Source organism: Homo sapiens, chromosome 17 (genome assembly GCF_000001405.40).
Source record: "Homo sapiens chromosome 17, GRCh38.p14 Primary Assembly".
Taxonomy (NCBI): domain Eukaryota; kingdom Metazoa; phylum Chordata; class Mammalia; order Primates; family Hominidae; genus Homo; species Homo sapiens.
The window spans coordinates 46,452,332-46,470,580 of record NC_000017.11 but is presented as its reverse complement, the minus strand read 5'-3'; the positions used below and the strand labels follow the sequence as shown (position 1 = coordinate 46,470,580).

At 36.7% G+C, this 18,249-nt stretch overlaps 1 protein-coding gene across 2 annotated transcripts in view; it reads right to left on the bottom strand.

Moving 5' to 3' along the window:
- LRRC37A2 (leucine rich repeat containing 37 member A2) overlaps positions 1 to 18,249 on the bottom strand; it is a 676,337-nt gene that overhangs the window by 578,548 nt on the left and 79,540 nt on the right. For both annotated transcript variants that reach the window (XR_007065300.1, XM_047436147.1), the window contains exon 9: positions 13,675 to 13,874. Coding sequence is in view for 1 of the 2 variants with exons in the window: in XM_047436147.1 (XP_047292103.1) it covers positions 13,675 to 13,874 (200 nt within the window). In the remaining variant the exon portion in view is untranslated. The remainder of the gene's footprint in view (positions 1 to 13,674; positions 13,875 to 18,249) is intronic.

The following is an 18,249-nucleotide window of genomic DNA, read 5'->3' as shown; positions in this document are numbered from 1 at the left end:
TGGCTTCCCAAAGTGCTAGGATTACAGGCATGAGCCATTGGGCCCAGCTTCCCAATAAAGTTTTATAGTTTTTGTTGTTTAAATTCCTTCATTCCTTCATAAAGATTCCTAGCTATGTTTTTTGGTGGCAATTGTGATGGGATTTTTCTATTATATTTCAGAAACAGTATAGAAGTATGAAGGAAATATATTTTTATGTATTTATTTTATATATGGCTACTTTACTCTTATTTATAATATCTAAGTTTTTAAAAAAATCTGACTCTTTTGAATTTCCTAGGTAGACAATCATACCACCTACAAATACAACTTGTATCCTCCTTACTAACAGGTATACCTGCTTTTGGGTATGAGAAGCTGTACCAAAACAAAGACATATAAAAGGGGAAAGAGAGGGTCTAATAGCTAAGAAGTTAGAAGCATGTGGGTTCAACTGAACAGAAGGCCCAGAGGCAGTCAAGGTCCTATAAAAGGGATAATAAAATTTACCTAATGTGAGAAGCAGAAGTTATAGTACTATCATGACAGACTGAAATCTAGAATTAGGCCTTCCTACTGAAACAGAGGACATCAGTAAATGAACTGCAAAGTAGAATGCTCTTTATATAAAATGATTTTATTCTTGGCTTTAGGATGAAAAGAAGTATGCACTTGGAAGGTCAGTGAGAAACAAATAATGGTACATAAATGAGGCAAGCAGAATCTAAACAGAATGAGAATTTTGGTGACAGGAGTGGTGATGACCAAACAGCAAATGCTAGATTTGATTATTGCTTGCATGTAGGGTGGAAGACTGACAGTGAAGAAAAGAAATTACCCTGTAGTATGATAAGGAAGCTGCAGAAGGGAAAAGATACAAGGGAATTTTTTTTGTTTGTTTGTTTCTAGCATGATAAGATTAAAGAGTTAACAAGACATCTATTTGGAAAGGCCTCCAAATAGAGAACAAGATATACACAACTGAATAAAAAAGGATAGCAAGATACATCTGAACGTCTTCTGCAAATAGTAAAGAATAGTCTTGTAGCAAGCCGTAGATACCGTAAGAAGATGGATCATATAATTAAGCTGGAGGAATATAAAAGCAGGACAGATTCTGGGCTACAATACCAGAATATACCTATAGTAATCTGAAGAAAAGGGGGAATAAAAAAATGACAAAGATGAAAGATGAAATGTTACATCAGACATAGGAAGAAAGAGTTCCAAAAATGACCTGAAGGAAATTCAACTGGGTCAAAAACAAACCCTGAATATATATTTTTAAATAAAAAATAGATAAAATGCTATATGACCTAAAAATTCCACTACTTGGTTTATAGCAGCTCTGCTCATAATTGCCCCAAACTAGAAAACAACCCAATTGGCCTTCAGTGGGTCAAGAGATAAACAAATGATAGTACACCCACACAATTAAATACTATTCAACAATAAAAAGGGATGTTTGACACATGCAACAACTTGGATGAATCTCAAAGGCATTATGCTGAAGACAGCCAGTCCCCAAAGGTTACATAGTGTATGACGCCATTTATATGACATTCTTGAAAAGATAAAACTACAGGGATGGAGAACACATTGGTAGTTACCAGGGTTACTAAAAAGAAAGGGTGACCAGTAAGGGACTGCATGAAGGAGTTTTTGGGGGTGATGCAAATGTTCTACATCCTGATTTTTACAGTGGTTCCATGAATCTATACATGTATGAAATTTCATAAAACTACATACAAAAAGAGAAAAATTCATTTTACAGCATAATAAACCAGATAAAATAATAATAAATTCTATTCTTTAATGCAATTGTATGTAGGATGACAGATGTCCATCAAAGTTTCTAAAGTTTCATTAGGTTTTATTTTTGTTCCTGAACATTACTTACAAATTGTTCTCCCTCCATATTTTAAAACCTAATTTCAAATCTGAGGGAAAAAAACTTCATTTTTCTGTATCATTGCATTTACTGAATAGATATCTAATGATAAATAACTTGCTTCCTAAAAAAAAATTCAATACCAAAAACTGTTCATCTTTCCATCTGGAGAAAAAATTGGAAATGAGGAATTGGAACTACAACCTTAACTTTGCCAAAGTACTTCTATACAGCAGGATATTAATTCTTGTCATCTTCAGTGACAACAAGGATACTTCTGTTTGTGACTGAAAAACTGTGAAATTTTACATTATTTTTTAAAGTTTTTTTTTTCTTCAAGGTTGTCTGCCCTATACAGCATGAAACAAAAAGCTGCTATAATATATGAGTTTTACTGTCAATGTGCCTTATGTTGTTGATGGAATCATGATTTCCTTCTCAGCCCAACCTCAAAAATCACGTATGTGGACAAGGACAAAGACAATACGAACACTGTTTGATTAAATGATCATGGAGGCAATCTGTTCTAAACATAATTCAGTACAATTCTGACCTTTTCAGAACCTTACTAATCTTGTTACCTGTCATCAGGTCCCTTACCCCACCTAGTCAGTACAATAACATCAAATTTTACATTGTGTGTTACTTAAATAAAAGCAAGATCTTATTCCAAGAAATTGGGAATTGGGTAAAGAAGATGTCAAGATTAACGTTCACAGACTAATATAGCTGATTCATCAATAAACCCTTTATCAAAAAAATTAAATTTCCACAGCACAATCCTCTTCCATTCATTGGCTTCTAGCTCTGTTTTTAACATCTGCAAAGTCTTTCTCCATAGAAACAGAGCTGACGCTGTTGAGCCCTGGCAACAGCTTTCAAAAGCGGCTGTTCTGTATTTAACTAGTTTGACCTATATGCAAGTGTTCATCTCCGTCAGTGTGGACTGTCCAAAATTACAGAAGTGATGTTTTTCTTTATCATGTAACACACATATATATCCTGCATGAGGTCATTAGCTGAGTACATCAAGCCATTTCTGGATGTGAGAAAGGTATAACTGAAAAGGCTGGCTATAATTAATATCGAACTGGAAATTCTTTGCTAACTCAATTTTATCATCAGTAGTTTAATATTTAAATTGCTTGCAACTTTAAAAACAGCACCAAAGTTACCTATGTAGCCATGTGGTAACTATCACAACTGAGATGTTATAAAATGCTTCTCCATATGGCATTTTAACTCACTTCTGCCTAGTGTTTAATCCTCAGTATCTCATTAGGGTCCGTTAGACCCAATCTCAGTTTCTGAGTTTCTGTTTTAAGTAGTACTATTTATAAAAATTGATATCTCATGACTTTTTTCCTTTTTCCAAAGAGCAAACAAACAAAACAAAAAACCCAATATTTAAAAAAATAGAATAAAATTCTATCTTACAATTGCCATTTGGATCTACTAGATCTTTTTATGAATCTAAGACACATTATGCTATTTCATCACACTAGAAATTACATCATTACTCATCAATTATTCTCAACTATGCTTAAAAAGGATTAAAATAAGAAAATAGAAGAATGAAGTCTTTGCCCATGCCTATGTCCTGAAAGGTATTGCCTACGGTTTTTTTTAGGATTTTTACGGTTTTAGGTCTTACATTTAAATCTTTAAACCATCTTGAGTTAATTTTTGTATAATTTTCTGCATATGGCTAGCCAGTTTTCCCAACACCATTTATTAAATAGGGAATCCTTTCCCCATTGCTTGTTTTTGTCAGGTTTGTCAAAGATCAGATAGTTGTAGATGTGTGGCATTATTTCTGAGGCCTCTGTTCTGTTCCTTTGGTCTATATATCTGTTTTGGTACCAGTACCATGCTGTTTCAACAGTGTGGTGATTCCTGAAGGATCCAGAACCAGAAATACCATTTGACCCAGCAATCCCATTACAATCATTCTACTATAAAGACACATGCACACATGTTTATTGAGGCACTGTTCACAATAGCAAAGACTTGGAACCAACCCAAATGCCCATCAACGATAGACTAGATAAAGAAAACGTGGCACATGGAATACCATGCAGCCATAAAAACAGATGAGTTCATGTCCTTGGCAGGGACATGGATGAAGCTGGAAACCATCATTCTCAGCAAACCAACACAGGACCAGAAAACCAAACACCACATGTTCTCACTCATAAGTGGGAAATGAACAATGAGAACACATGGTCACAGGGAGGGGAACATCATACACTGGGGCCTGTCAGTGGGTGGGGGGGCTAGGGGAGGGATAGCATTAGGAGAAATACCTAATGTAGATGACGGGTTGATGGGTGCAGCCAGTCACCATGGCATGTGTATACCTATGTAACAAACCTGCAAGTTCTGCACATGTATCCCAGAACTTAAAGTATAATAAAAAATGACTAAATTACTTAGAAACAGTGAAACAAGTATCACTATGACATCACTCTTCAGTTTTCTTACTGTGTTGTGCAAGATATGTGTTATCTTTCAAGAAGGCATAAAAGAAGTCTGGAGCTAACATCTTTTGTGACCTCATTCTACATTTTATTGAATACGATTAAGCATTAACATTTGTAAGTTCTCTAGCCAGAATGACGAAGAAAATCTGAGGAAACTGTTTTAGAATTATTAGATGAGTCAGAAGTTGAACACAAAGAATAAGATAGGAGCACTTAGGACTCTAATAAAGATGCTGAAATTGATGATTATAAGTAAAATCTCAGTCTATGTGTCTTCAGATGATGATGCCCTACATACATTTTCTCAAACTCAAGAATCAATGAGTGAATAATATACTTTTAATCTAAGGACAAAGCATTTTCATTCAGTTACTTATTCAATAGAAAGTCTTCTTTGTGGAATATCTTGTGACAAGAAATGAGGCCATCCCATTTTGCTAAAAGGACACATGACAGTATTCTTTCATCTTTTATTTCATTTGTGCACCAAATTTTCTTGATATAGTTTAAAAGTAGACAGATGCTGAAGGCAGGTATTACAGAGAGATAGCCAGAAGAAATAGATGAAGTAGACATTAAAAAATTGGATTGACCATAAAAAACAGAATTGATCATTCTGAAAGGTATCTACAAATCTAAAAATAAAAATGTTTTGCAACTGTGGAACATATAATGGTCATCCTCTCTTCAACAAAATTAGGAGCCAAAGATCTCAAAAAAATTCTTAAAGCATTATGTTTTGATGCTGTAAGTGCAAGAAGAACCAGAAGTAATAATAATTTAGAAGCCAACAAAGATGTATTTGAAACTTAGAATCAGTATTTGTAAGTTCATGCAGGACAGCTGATGAACAGTTACTGCATTCAGAGGCTCCTGCCCATTTGGGGTATACAGGTTGAGTATCCCTAATCCAAAAATTCAAAATCCAAAATGTTCCAAAATCTGAAAGGTGCACCACACACAGGGGGTTACTGTATGATAATCTTTTAATCAAAACACAACATCAGCTGGGCATGGTAGCTCACACCTGTCATTTCAGCACTTTGGGAGGCTCAGGCAGGAGGATCGCTTGAGCCCAGGAGTTTGAGACCAGCCTGGGCAACCTAGGGAGACCTTGTCTCTACAAAAAGATTTTTAAAATTAGCCAGGTATGGTGGTGCACACCTGTAGTCCCAGCTACTCGGGAGGCTGAGGTAGGAGGACGGCTTGAGCCCAGGAGTTTGAGGCTGCGGTGAGCCATGATGGTGCCACTGCATGCCAGCCTAGGCGATGGAGTGAGACCCCATCTCAAAAAACCAAACCAAAACAAAAGCCCCCCACAACATCGTAGGTGGTGACTGAAACTGTTGCTGTTTGGTGTTGCTGTTGTTTAACAGCTTATCCAGGTATTCTGGTGATGCCATTGTGCTGCTTAGTTACCCTAAACTCACTATTTTTTCACTGTATTAATGGTGTGTCATATTTTTTACTGTTAAGTACTTGTGTCTCAATACATGTATGAAAACGATTATTTATCAGGCATATAAATTTACACTCAGAAACAATGGTGATGCCAACCAACCACAGACCATCCACATCTAGTGGCTGAGATAGTGATGCCTTAGCTTTCTGATGGTTCAATGTACACAGACTTTGTTTCAGTAACAAAATTATTTAAAATATTGTACAGGATTACCTTCAGGCTGTGTGTACAAGGTATATACAAAACATAAATGGATTTCATGTTTAGACCAGAGTCCCAACGCCAAGATATCTTAATGTATATGCAAATATTCCAAAAACCAAAATCCAAAACACCTCAAGACCAGGGAAACATGGCATAAAAATTTTATTTATATATTTAAGTTCTTATTTAATTTTTAATAGTTTTTTATCTCTTTATTCTTGTATTTTGTAAATTATTTGGAAAATAATCTAAAATAATTTTTAAGCGGAGTTTATTCAACCTAGATAGTATATGGTGATGACTGTTTTTCTTGGTACACTGAGGTAAGTTAAAAAGATAAGTGAAGCAGAAACAATCTTAGTATTAGGAATGAACTGCAAAACTGACTGGTTCCGGGACTTTCTGAAGAGTTGAAATAGTGAATGGACTTGCACCAACCCACCAAGACCCACACCTGCTAGAACCAATGAGACTGATCTAGCTGGAGACCTGAACAAGAACTTAATGAAATGCTGGAAAGCAGGAAAGGAAACGACCTTGTATAAAATTGAAACAATTAAGGACCCAACAAGCAGACTTAAAGCACTAAGAGGATTGCTATAAAGGGAATATTTAATATTATTTTACCCTCAACAAAAATTTTAAATGGTAGGATAGATTAATTCAGTACAGCTTACTAGGTTTTTTTTTTTTTTGAAGACGGGATGTTATATTTCTGAGTGTTATTCATGTCGATCTATGTAAATCTATTATTCATTTTATTTTTTTGAGACAGGGTCTCATTCTGTTGCCCAAGCGGGAGTGCAGTGGCACTATCACAGCTCACTGCAGCCTTGACCTCCCCGGCACAAGTGACCATCCCACCTCAGCCTCCTAAGTGGCTGGGACCACAGGAATGTGCCACCATGCCTGGCTAATTTTTAATTTTTGTAGAGGTGGGGTCTCACTATGTTGCCCATGATGGTCTTCAACTCCTGGGCTCAAATGATCCTCTGCCTTGGCATCCTGAAGTGCTGGGATTACAGGCGTGGGCCACTGTGCTCAGCATATTCATTTTAATATCTGTATGCTATTCCATTTCCTACTAAGGAAGAGTAATGATGTTTCTTTTCCCTCTATTACAAATAGCATGACAATCAACATCCTGGTACATGTCATGTTGTTTATCATAGGTAGTGGTCTTGAAGTAGAACTCATGGGGTTTGTGCATTTTCATTTTTGTAAGATGTCAAATTTATTTGCAAGATACTACCCACTTGGTATATTCTTCTAGTTTATACTCCAACTAGCAATGTATATGAGACCTTGTTTCTCCATAACCCCACAAACTCTTGGTTTTACCAGCTGTTGTAAATTTTGCCAGGTTGTTTAAGAAATAATCCCTCTTTTATTATACATTTTCCTGAATATCTTTTCATTTGCTTTTCTTCAATTGTGTTCTTTCTCTGAGAACTACGTGTTAAATCCTTCGACAGTTTTTTTAAATTGTGGTATTTATATTTTTCTTATTATACAAGACTTTTTATAGAGAATTTATTATAGAGGATGCCAATTCTTTGTAGATTATATACACTGCAAATATCTTCTCCCAGTTTGAGACATTTGTATTCAGTGTAATTTGTCATACAGAATTTTCTTTATATTAATGTAGCCAAATTAACACTTCCAATGGATTTACTTTCTGTATCAATTCTTCCCTAGCCTCAAATCTTAAAACATTTTTGCCTATTTTTCTTCTAAATAAGTTTTCCTCCTATAAATTTTAGTAGGCTTTTATGTTTTTGTTTTTTTGTAAATCCATTTGCAATTTTGTATGCTGTGAGGTAGGAATTGCATTTTATCTTTTTCCAAATAGGTAGTCAATTATCTCAGCTCCGTTTAAGGCACAGCCAGCCTATTACTCCCCTCTGATCTGTATCATCACTTGTCATAGAGCAGGCTCTTCCTTCCTGTGTTCTATTGTTTCCTTGGTCTGTTTTTACATGAATATATAACATTGTTTCAATTACTATTGCTTTCTAGTAAGTCTTGATATGTGATAAAAGTAAATCTTCATTATTCTTCAAAATTCTCATAACTCTTCAAGCCTCAAAAAAAATTAGAATCAAGTTGTCAAATGTTAAAAAATTCCTATTAGGCTTCACTGGAAATACACTCAACTTACAGACCAAGATGGGCAGAACTCATTTTTATGACATTGTCAGTTCTCCCATACATGAACATGTTATATCTTACCATTTATTAGCTGCTTAAAAAAAGATTTTCAAAAATGTTTAGAATTTTCTCCTTAAAGGTCTTGCACATTTCCTGCTAGATCGAATCCTAGGCACTTTACATTCTGATTTCTGCTATAAATGAAATTGTTTTTAAAATTACCTTTTTATTATCATCACATTGTCTTTGAGTCTTGTTATTTCTTTCTTGCCTTCTAAAGTATTTGAGTTTCCATTGTTTCTTTCCCAGCTCCTCCCTATGCTTTGGAAAAGTTTGGGCACAATGTACAACTTTCACATGCACATTTGACTTAATGTTAACTAACATTATTGGCTTCTTTTTTTTTTTTTGACATGGAGTTTCACTTTTGTTACCCAGGCTGGAATCCAGTGGCACGATCTTGGCTCACTGCAATCTCCGCCTCCCGGGTTCAAGCAATTCTCCTGCCTCAGCCTCCTGAGTAGCTGGGATTACAGCTGTGCGCCACCAAGCCCAACTAATTTTTGTATTTTTTTAGTAGAGATGGGGTTACACCATGTTGACCAGGCTGGTCTCAAACTCCCTACCATCTTCCCCAATAATATAAGGAGCTTACATGAATTTAATCTACTTCCCAAACGTTTTTTTCCATATTTTAGTTCTATCCTTTAAAAATATTCATATCATTATTGTTTTTCTCAGTGAATGCTATTAAAATTTATTTTTAAAACTTTTAATTGCAAAATACATCACACATAGAGAAAAGTTACAAAATGTGAATATATGCCTCAATGAACTGTCACAAAATGAACGCCTACGTAATCATAAGAAACAGAATACTGCTAGCATCCTGGGAGCACCTCCTCACAACCCCTCCCAAGCACTCCTCCCTGACCTTTCCCCATAGGTAACCACAATCTGATTTTTATGGTAATAATTCATTTTCCTTTATAGTTTTACCACCCAAGCATGTGTTGTTAAACACTATACTTTAGGTAAGCTCTCTATAAATGGAATCACACAGTATGTGTTCTTTTTGAAATCTGGTTTCTTTTGCTCAATAATTTATTTGTGAGATTCACAACTGTATATAGCTGTAGGCTATTTATTTTCATTACTGCCTTGTATTCCATTATATATTTCTATGATCATTCATCCATTTACTGGATATAAAATTCTAAGTTGACAGTTATTTTCTTTCAGCTCTTTAAAAATGGCCTTTGATTGACTTTTTGTTTCCATCATTTCTATTGAGAAGACAGCTACTAGCTAGTTGTTGCTTATTTGAAGGTAATTTTCCTTTGCTCTCTAGCTCCTTTTAAGATTTTTCTCATTTTTGGTTTTCAGCAATTTAACAATAATGCCTATATATGTAGAGTTCTTTGGTATTTCTCCTGCTCAGGGTTCATATCATTTCTGCAATTTATGGACTAATGTTTTCCATCAGTTTTAGAAAGTTCTAAACCATTTTCTCTTCAAATCCTGATTTTGATTCATCCTCTTTCTCTTGCCTTTCTGGAACTTTAAATACACGCACCAGACCTTTAAACGGTATTCTCTCTCTCTCTCTCTTACTCTCTCTTAATTCCTTTCATTCTTTGTCTCTGGTTATTTTCATCTTATATCTTTCAGTACACTAATTCTCTCTTCAGATGTGTCTAACCTGCTATTTAAACTCATTCACTTGAGTTAATTTTACTTACTGATTTTCTCAGTTCTAGAATTTATATTTGTTTATTTTTAGTTTCCAGTTCTCTGCCAAAAATCTGTCTTGTCTTTTATCCCCTTGAATGTGGTAAGTATAATTATTTCAAAAGTCTGTATCTGAGAATTCCAATATCTAGAGGCTGTTTGAACCATCTTTTCTTTTTCTTGATGTTGTTTGTGTATCTGTTTCCAGTTGCTTTTGATTATAAGCCAGACATTGCATTTGCAAACTAGAAACAATTTGTGACCTTACATGATACCACTTTCTTCCAGGAAGGATTTACAATTCTGCCAGATGCCTAGGGGCACTAGCAATTTAGGAACCCTCAATCTAATTTTAGGGACTGACATGATTCAAAGCTGATCTGCAGCCCCAGTGAGAGTATGTCTACTCCTGGTTAACCCTTGCTCCTATGGTGTAGCCCTTCAGGGTCTTGACTCAAAATGAGTTATGTTCATCAGGTGTCCCCTCCTTAGGGGCCATGGGCACTAATCTCTGCCCCCATTACTCCCACTAGCCTGTCAAAAGGGCTGCTTAGGTTTTAGCAGCTTCCTGCAGAACTGGCTAATATCTCGAGAGGAACAGTGACCCAGTATACCAGGAGGACCTTTGTTCTAGGCCTCCATTTTTCTTCTTTGATACCTTCAAGCAAAACATGTTTAAATATTGTGTTGAGCTTTTCTGGTAGTCTTCAGTGGAACACATGACTCAAATGACCTAATTTGCCACTACTAGAAGTAGAACTCCCAGACTTTATCTATATTTTCACCAATTTCATTGCTCATCATTGTTTCTTGGCTCTACTGTTTCCTTCTGGGTTCAACTTCCTTCAGTCTCAGTACATCTTGCTTCATAATCTTCCAACAAGCTTCTGCAACTAGTTAATTCTATTATCCTTTGCCTGAAGAAAAAAAGTCTTTATTTCACCCTCATTCCTGAATGAGAATTAAGCTGGGTATTAACTTTTAAGTTGACAGTTATTTTCACTTAGCTCTCTGAAGATATTATTCTACTGTTTTTTGTTCTCTCTTTCTGTCATGGAAAAGTTTGCTATCAACATAATGGATACCCCTTTGTAAGTCATCTCCATGTCTTTCTTTTGTTACTAAGATTTTTTTTCTTTGGCATTCTCCTATAACAAGTCTAGAAATAAGTTAATTTTCATTTATCCCATATAGGCTCATGGTGCTACCTGAATCTGAGTACTTATGTCTTTATTAATTCTAGAATATTCTTAGTCATTCTCTTTTTGAATAATGCCTCTACACTATTCTATCTGGACTTCTTGTTTTAACTCTCTCATCTCAACTTTCATCTTCTCCATCCCTTTATCTCTCTGTGCTACATTCTGGGTGATTTCTTTAGGTTTATTCTTCTGTTTACCACTTCTCTCTTCAGCTGAAATTTGTTGTCTTATCTTAAACTTGGTTGCTGAGTTTTAAATTTTCATGACTACTTTTTCTATTCCTTTCAGCCTAGGTTGTTGGAGCACCCCCTGGGGTTTGCTTATATCTGACAACTTATGCTATCACTAGCCCAGGACTAATTTTTTTCTTCCTTAACATAGGGTCTTGCACTGTCACCCAGGTTGGAGTGCAATGGCACAATGAGAGCTCACTGCAGCCTAGAACTCCTGGGTTCTAGTGACCCTTCCATCTCAGCCTTCCAAGTAGCTGAGACTACAGGCATGAGCCACTGCACCTGAATAATTTTTTTAACTAATTTCTCAGCTTCGGGTTTCAAGCCACATAGGTAGCATACATTCATTCAAATTCTAAACCAGCATGAACAAGGATCCATGGTTTACAATTCCCATGGGAGGCCGGGCACGGTGGGTCACGCCTATAATCTCAGCACTTTGGGAGGCCAAGGCGGGCAGATCACCTGAGGTTGGGAGCTCGAGACCAGCCTGACCAACATGGAGAAACTCCATCTCTAGTAAAAATACAAAATTAGCTGGGCGTGGTGGTGCATGCCTGTAATCCCAGCTACTGGGGAGGCTGAGGCAGGAGAATTGCTTGAACCTGGGAGGCGGAGGTTGTGGTGAGCCGAGATCACGCCATTGCACTCCAGCCTGGGCAACAAGAGCAAAACTCCATCTCAAAAAAAAAAAAAAAAAAAAAAAAAAAGAAGAAGAAGAATTCCCATAGGAGATTTCCCAGCTTCCATTCCAGAACCCAGGCAGTTAAATATTTTTTGTTAATTTCCCTGTGGTGGCAGCAGATATTTTCTAGTCCACTCTTTTCATAGACACAACCCCTTTGAAGGTACCAGTTCCTAGTCCACACTGTAAATGGATTCAAGGACTCATGTTCTGTTCCCTAGTGGGTACTAAAACCCAAACCCATATATTATGAAACCAAAAGCTGCAGCCCGTATCTTACGACTCTAATTTCCTGGAGATCCAGTTTTCTTTCTGAAGAGCTCAATTATGCATTTAAAATGATTTCAGTTATGTTTTACCCAGAACTTTTAAAAGTTTTATTTTGTGTTTAATTGGCACATAACTGTGCATATTTAAGGGGTACAGTGTATACCTAGCATTTGAAGGTGTTTATAGAAGGAAGGTTTTCTGGTTACCTAGTCTACTGTATTGCTAGAACCAGAAATCTCATGGCATTGTTCTTAAACTGTCAATGAAAAAAATATGTTAGTATTAGGATAATTAATCAGAACAGACAAACAGAACCAATAGAATGTTCGTGTGTGTGTGTGTGTGTGTGTGTGTGTTTTCCTTATGATAAATCTCTATGAATATGTATGTATGCATATACACCCACATATATATGTCAGCCTCCATAATCGTTTTAGCCAATTCCTTGGGATAAATCTACAATTTCAGAGGCTGACAAGTCCCAAGATCTGCTGTCAGCAACCTGGTGACCCAGGAGAGCTAATACGCATTATTTAGTTCCAGCCCAAAGGCCTCCAAGCCAGGAAGAGCTGATGTTTCGGTGTGCATCCAAACCAATGTCCCAACTCAGGGCAACCAGGCAAGTCGAAATTCCCTCTTACTTGCAGGAAAGTAAGCCTTTTTGTTCTGTTCAGGCCTTAAACTGATTGAATGGGGCCTGCCCACATTAGGGAGGGCAATCTGCTTTATTCAGTCTATCAACTCAAACGCTAATTTCATCCAGAAACATCCTCACAGACACAACCGAAATGTTTTACCAAATATTTAGGCACTTTATGTCCTAGTCAAGTTGACATGTAAAACTATCAGAATTAGTAAATTCTAGCTTGATTTTTAAATAATTTCATTTCTGAGACGCAAATCAAGCTTTCCTTTGAGCTCTGACAACTCAATCCTGTCACTCTATAACTGAGCAAGACTCAGTGTTAAGTAAGATAGCTTTTTGCATATGAACCTTACATAATACGATTTCATAAGTCTATTTATGGATTTAATTTCCCCTTTTCTTCCAAAGGATAAATGAGCACAAGTCTCTGGAAGCAATATGGAATAAAAGTGTCACCTGAAAATATATTCATGACCTATTTTTGCAAAACCTCTGGCTTACACAATCACCTACCTTTGTTTATAGGAATATGTGGGCAACAACATCTGCTCATCACGTAAATCTTCCACAGTCCCTGGTGCAGTGCCATATATAACCTAGGTACTAGGTAAATTTACCTGTAAGTTGCTTCAAAATATAAATCAAAGCAACAAGTTTGTCTCCATAACTCTGGGTCTCATTCATCGTATAGCGAGTGATAAACTTTTACTAAATCACACTTATGTTCACATTACCCTCCTTTGCTCCTCTTCAGCATCAGCAAAAAGTTTGCGAATGTTAGCCTCTGATTCTCCCACATATTTGTTAAGGATTTCTGGCCCATTGACCACTTTGGGCTCTCTTGCATTCAACATCTTGCCAATCTGTCGAGCCAAGAGAGTCTTACCACAACCTGGGGGTCCATATAACAGGATGCCTTTAACATGTTTACAACCTGAAAAGGAAAAGAAAACAGTCTTATATCAGCTAACTAGAATCTAAGTAAGACTCTAAAGGAAAGTGTTCTTTCTTCTTCGTATGCACTTTAGGAAAAACACAGTGATGCCATTCACATATGTTAATGTCCATGAGCCATGAACAAGAATATACAGCCAAAAATCCAGAAACAATTCCTATAACTGTACTAAAGTTTGAGGGGGAAATGCTGCCAGTTAAAGGTCTCTGGAAGAGTCCATTCATGCTATGATTTTGAACAAATACTTTTTACTCTGAAAATGTCTAACTGGGAAATATTACTTATTTTTGGCTGGGTGTGGTGGCTCACTTGAGCCCAGGAGCATGAAACCAGCCTGGGCAATACTTTGTGACCCTGTCTCTATAAAAATAAAAAATTTGCTTTGTTTTACATATAACGATAAATTATATATAATTATTATATATCATATATGTGTATACACACACACACACACACACACACACACACACACACATATCCCATGGAATACTATTCAGCCATAACAAAGAACGAAGTCACATCTTTTGCTACAACATGGATGGAGCTGGAGGCCATTTTTCTAAGTGAAGTAACTCAAGAATGGAAAATCAAATACCATATGTTTTCACTTACAAGAGGGAGGTAAGTTATGGGTACACAAAGGTGTACAGAGTAATAGACTTTGGAAACTCAGAAGTGGGGAAAGTGAGGGCATGAAACCAGCCTGGGCAACACATTGTGATGGCAGAAAATTAAGAAGTGGGGAAAGTGAGAGGGGAGTGAGGAATAAAAAACTAATATTGGGTACAGTTTACACTACTTGGACAATGGGTCCTGCACTAAAATCTCAGACTTCACTACTATATAATTCATCCATGTAACCAAAAACCACTTGTACCTCAAAGGTTATTAAAATTATATAATATCTTTATATTACACCCAAAAAAGCACTCTGTGAAATAATAGATTATCAGGTTTCAGTGTCACACTCCTAAGTATGGGTAAAAAGGGAAATTTCTGAAAATGCAATATAAATAGTGTGTCGCCATGGAAAATGGTTTGTCCTTATCTGAAATGAAAGCATTAAAAAGTATATCTTTAAGAAAAAAAGTACAATACATTTGATGACTCAAGTAAAATCACAAGATGCAAACAACTCTATTAGAAATTTTAGATTCTGAGGAGGAAGACCCTTTGGGCTGTCAAAATTGGTCTTCACTTCCTCCTTTATGCTGAGAAAAGACTCCTTTTTAAATCCTTGAAAGTAATAAGAACTGTGCCTTTGGTTGAACATGGAGAGGGAGGGGAAACACTTGATGGCTTACAGTCTTAACCCTCTGCATCACAGAGTAAATCCCTTCCCTAAGAACCACTGCCCAATAAAATGCTTTTTGGCCTTTGACTCACCCTCCAAGTATGAGTGGTAGGGAGATAACAGGAGAAGCCTTGAGCTTCTCCTAGAGGCCAATACCACCAAGCACTACCAGCATCTAAGTTACAGGGACACGCTGGATTAGCAGCACGTTGAAGTCTGGCTCCTAATCTTGCCCTCTGAGCCAACTGTTACCATCATGATTTGAAACTATTCATATGTATAAACTGTAGCTGAGGCAGGTGGTGGTGGTGAAACATTCATAGGGAGAGGACATCCAGAAAGAAGAAAATGAAGATTTTCTGAGTTCCTACAAAGCACCAGCCCTTCTGATCTCCAACTTCTTGACTTCTACATTTTCTCCAAGTTTATCAACTTCCTCTTAACCATACTGCCTTCCCTAGTAAGCCATGCTTTCTTTGAAGGACTTTTAACTATTTATTCTTTGTAAATTTCTGTTATAACCACCCCATAGTCCCTGAATACAATATGGCTTTATTCACTACACATTGGCCACAATGTGTATAATTTCTCCATAGCACAGCTGGAGAAAATTATACCACTGTGCTACTGACTGATACCTCCAGAATTTCATGCTATCCAGTTTCAGTTCTATGCTCACTGCTTTCTCATGCCACTCTTTACTTGTCTTTGTTAGCTCATCTCTAATTCTCCTTATTAATTATCCAGATCTTCACTGTTCTTCTCAAGAGCTACCCCCTGCTATGAATTCTTAGAGATAACCTAGGTTCCTATTTCACATATCAAAAAAAAAAAAAAAAAAAGACTTCACCTCTCTGCTTCTTTATCTATAAATTGATCAGCAGACTCATCCATTCTCAACCTAATCTCGGTTCTCAAAGTAGTCTTCCTTCCTCTCCTCCAAGGTTTATATTGCAATTCTCTGTTTACATGGCTTCTTCGCTATAAGACTGTAAACTATTCAAATGCAAGTACTATCTCATTCACCCAGCATGATGCCCAGCACCTACTATGGACTTCAGGAAAGGCTGAATAAGTAAACTGTTGATTCTTTTCCTACAAAACTCAAAGAATATGAAGGATTTTAAAAAATTATTTGAAGCTCTTAATTTATGGACTGTGCTTATTCTCATAGCTGAGCTAATTTAAATACTTAAAAAAAAAATACATTTGCAATGACTGAGACTTTCCGAATTTAACAAAACAACATAAACACAAGAATCTTAACTTTGCAACTATGCTTCTGTACACAGAAAATGCTCAAATTAATGTGTTTTGAACTAAATTTACTCAGATATTATAAAATAAACAATTCACAAATTATTACCATGAAGTTTAAAAGAGATAAAATGTTTACCCATGCAACTTATTATATATAATACAGATATGTGAAACGATAGAATATATTTAATATAACTTCAACAGGAATGTAATAGAAGCTCTAGTCTGCTTTAGAACTATAATTCTTTTAGGATCTCAAATGAGCACATCAAAAATATACACTGACATGTGAAGTCTTTCAAAATGTACTTCCACAAAGGAAGCTGTTACTTGAATAAGCAGTGGAAATGGGACTTTATTATTACTATTATTATTACAGCCTATTCTGACTTATTAAGTAAGCATTGGTCTCTAATTTTAAATGAGTCATAAAAACTCTTTATAACTAATTCCATTCAACAAAAGTGTACTAAGCTCATGTTTAGACTAGATGCAAAGGTAGCTGTTAGGGATACAAACATGAAAAAGACAGTCCCTAGCTGTAGGGCATTTCTGGCTTAGTAGGAAAGACAGAAATAAAAATAGGCTATCTACAATATAATATGACATTATCAGAGATATGTATGAAATGTTTTTGGACTCTAGCCAAGAGATACTGATTCTGCCAGAGTGATGGCAGAAAATTAAGAATGGACTCAGGTGAAGAGCTAACATCCATTGTGGGCCTGGAAGAATGAGTAGGAGGTTCACAGGCAATGGAGAGGAAATGCCACCCCAAAGAGAGAGACTAGCATGATCAAAGGCATAGGGATATGGACACAGACACTGTTCTCTCGAAACAGCCAGTAGTAACCTGCTGTAGCCAGAGCCCTGGAAGTGAGGAGAGGGCAGTGCCTGGCGACGAGGCTGGCAGGCTCCTAACTGGCAGGCCTTGAAACCATGACCATGATTTTTTAACTTGTTTCATAGGTGATTAAAACCCCACATTTTTGGGTGATTAGTCTAATCACCCTTAGGTGTAAGTGACAATCACGGAAGGCACACCAGGAGATATGTATTTAAAAGCTAACTGTGTTGGCAGAGTGGAGAAAGAACGAGAGACCAAACAGGCAAAGGAGGGGAGGCTAGCTGGGGGAATGTTCTGAACCTTTTTCTGGGGATACCAACTCACTCTGGATTCTTGCCAGTTAAGTTTTCATATCCCTCTAAGTCCTTTGGAAGCACAGGAACAAATGGGTCCAGGGGCCTCGGGAGGACACCCTCTGCTCCTGCTGATGCCCCAGCTTTCTCCTGAGCTTCTCTAGGATATTAAAGCCTGGATCTGATATTGAGGAGCCTCTGATCTCTGGCTGCTGGACTGACTGCCCAGCTGGACTGACTAATGCTGCTGTTTTATTCTTAATATCTTACATGCCACCTCACTCCTCAGAGATAAGTGCCTTAGGTTAGTGACCTAAATAACAAAGGCCAGGTATAGAACGAGAAATCAGTGGACCTGATTTAAATTGTCATTGTCTCTCATTCTATTCCTCTCTTTCCCACAGAACAGTCTAATGGACCTCCCCAGGAAAATGCACATGCACAAAAAATTTGCATACAAATTTGAGAGAGTTCTTTAATCCTTTGAGGTCCATCCATGGAATCCAAATTAGAAACTCCTGAACATATTACTGAAATAATCCAGACAAAAGACAATAAACAGAAAGAGGCAAGAGTCATAGGAAATAGTAGAAAAAGAAAAGAAGATGCGGGAGATACTCATCAAAGCTTAGAAACCAAATGGAAACCAGAGAAGGAAGA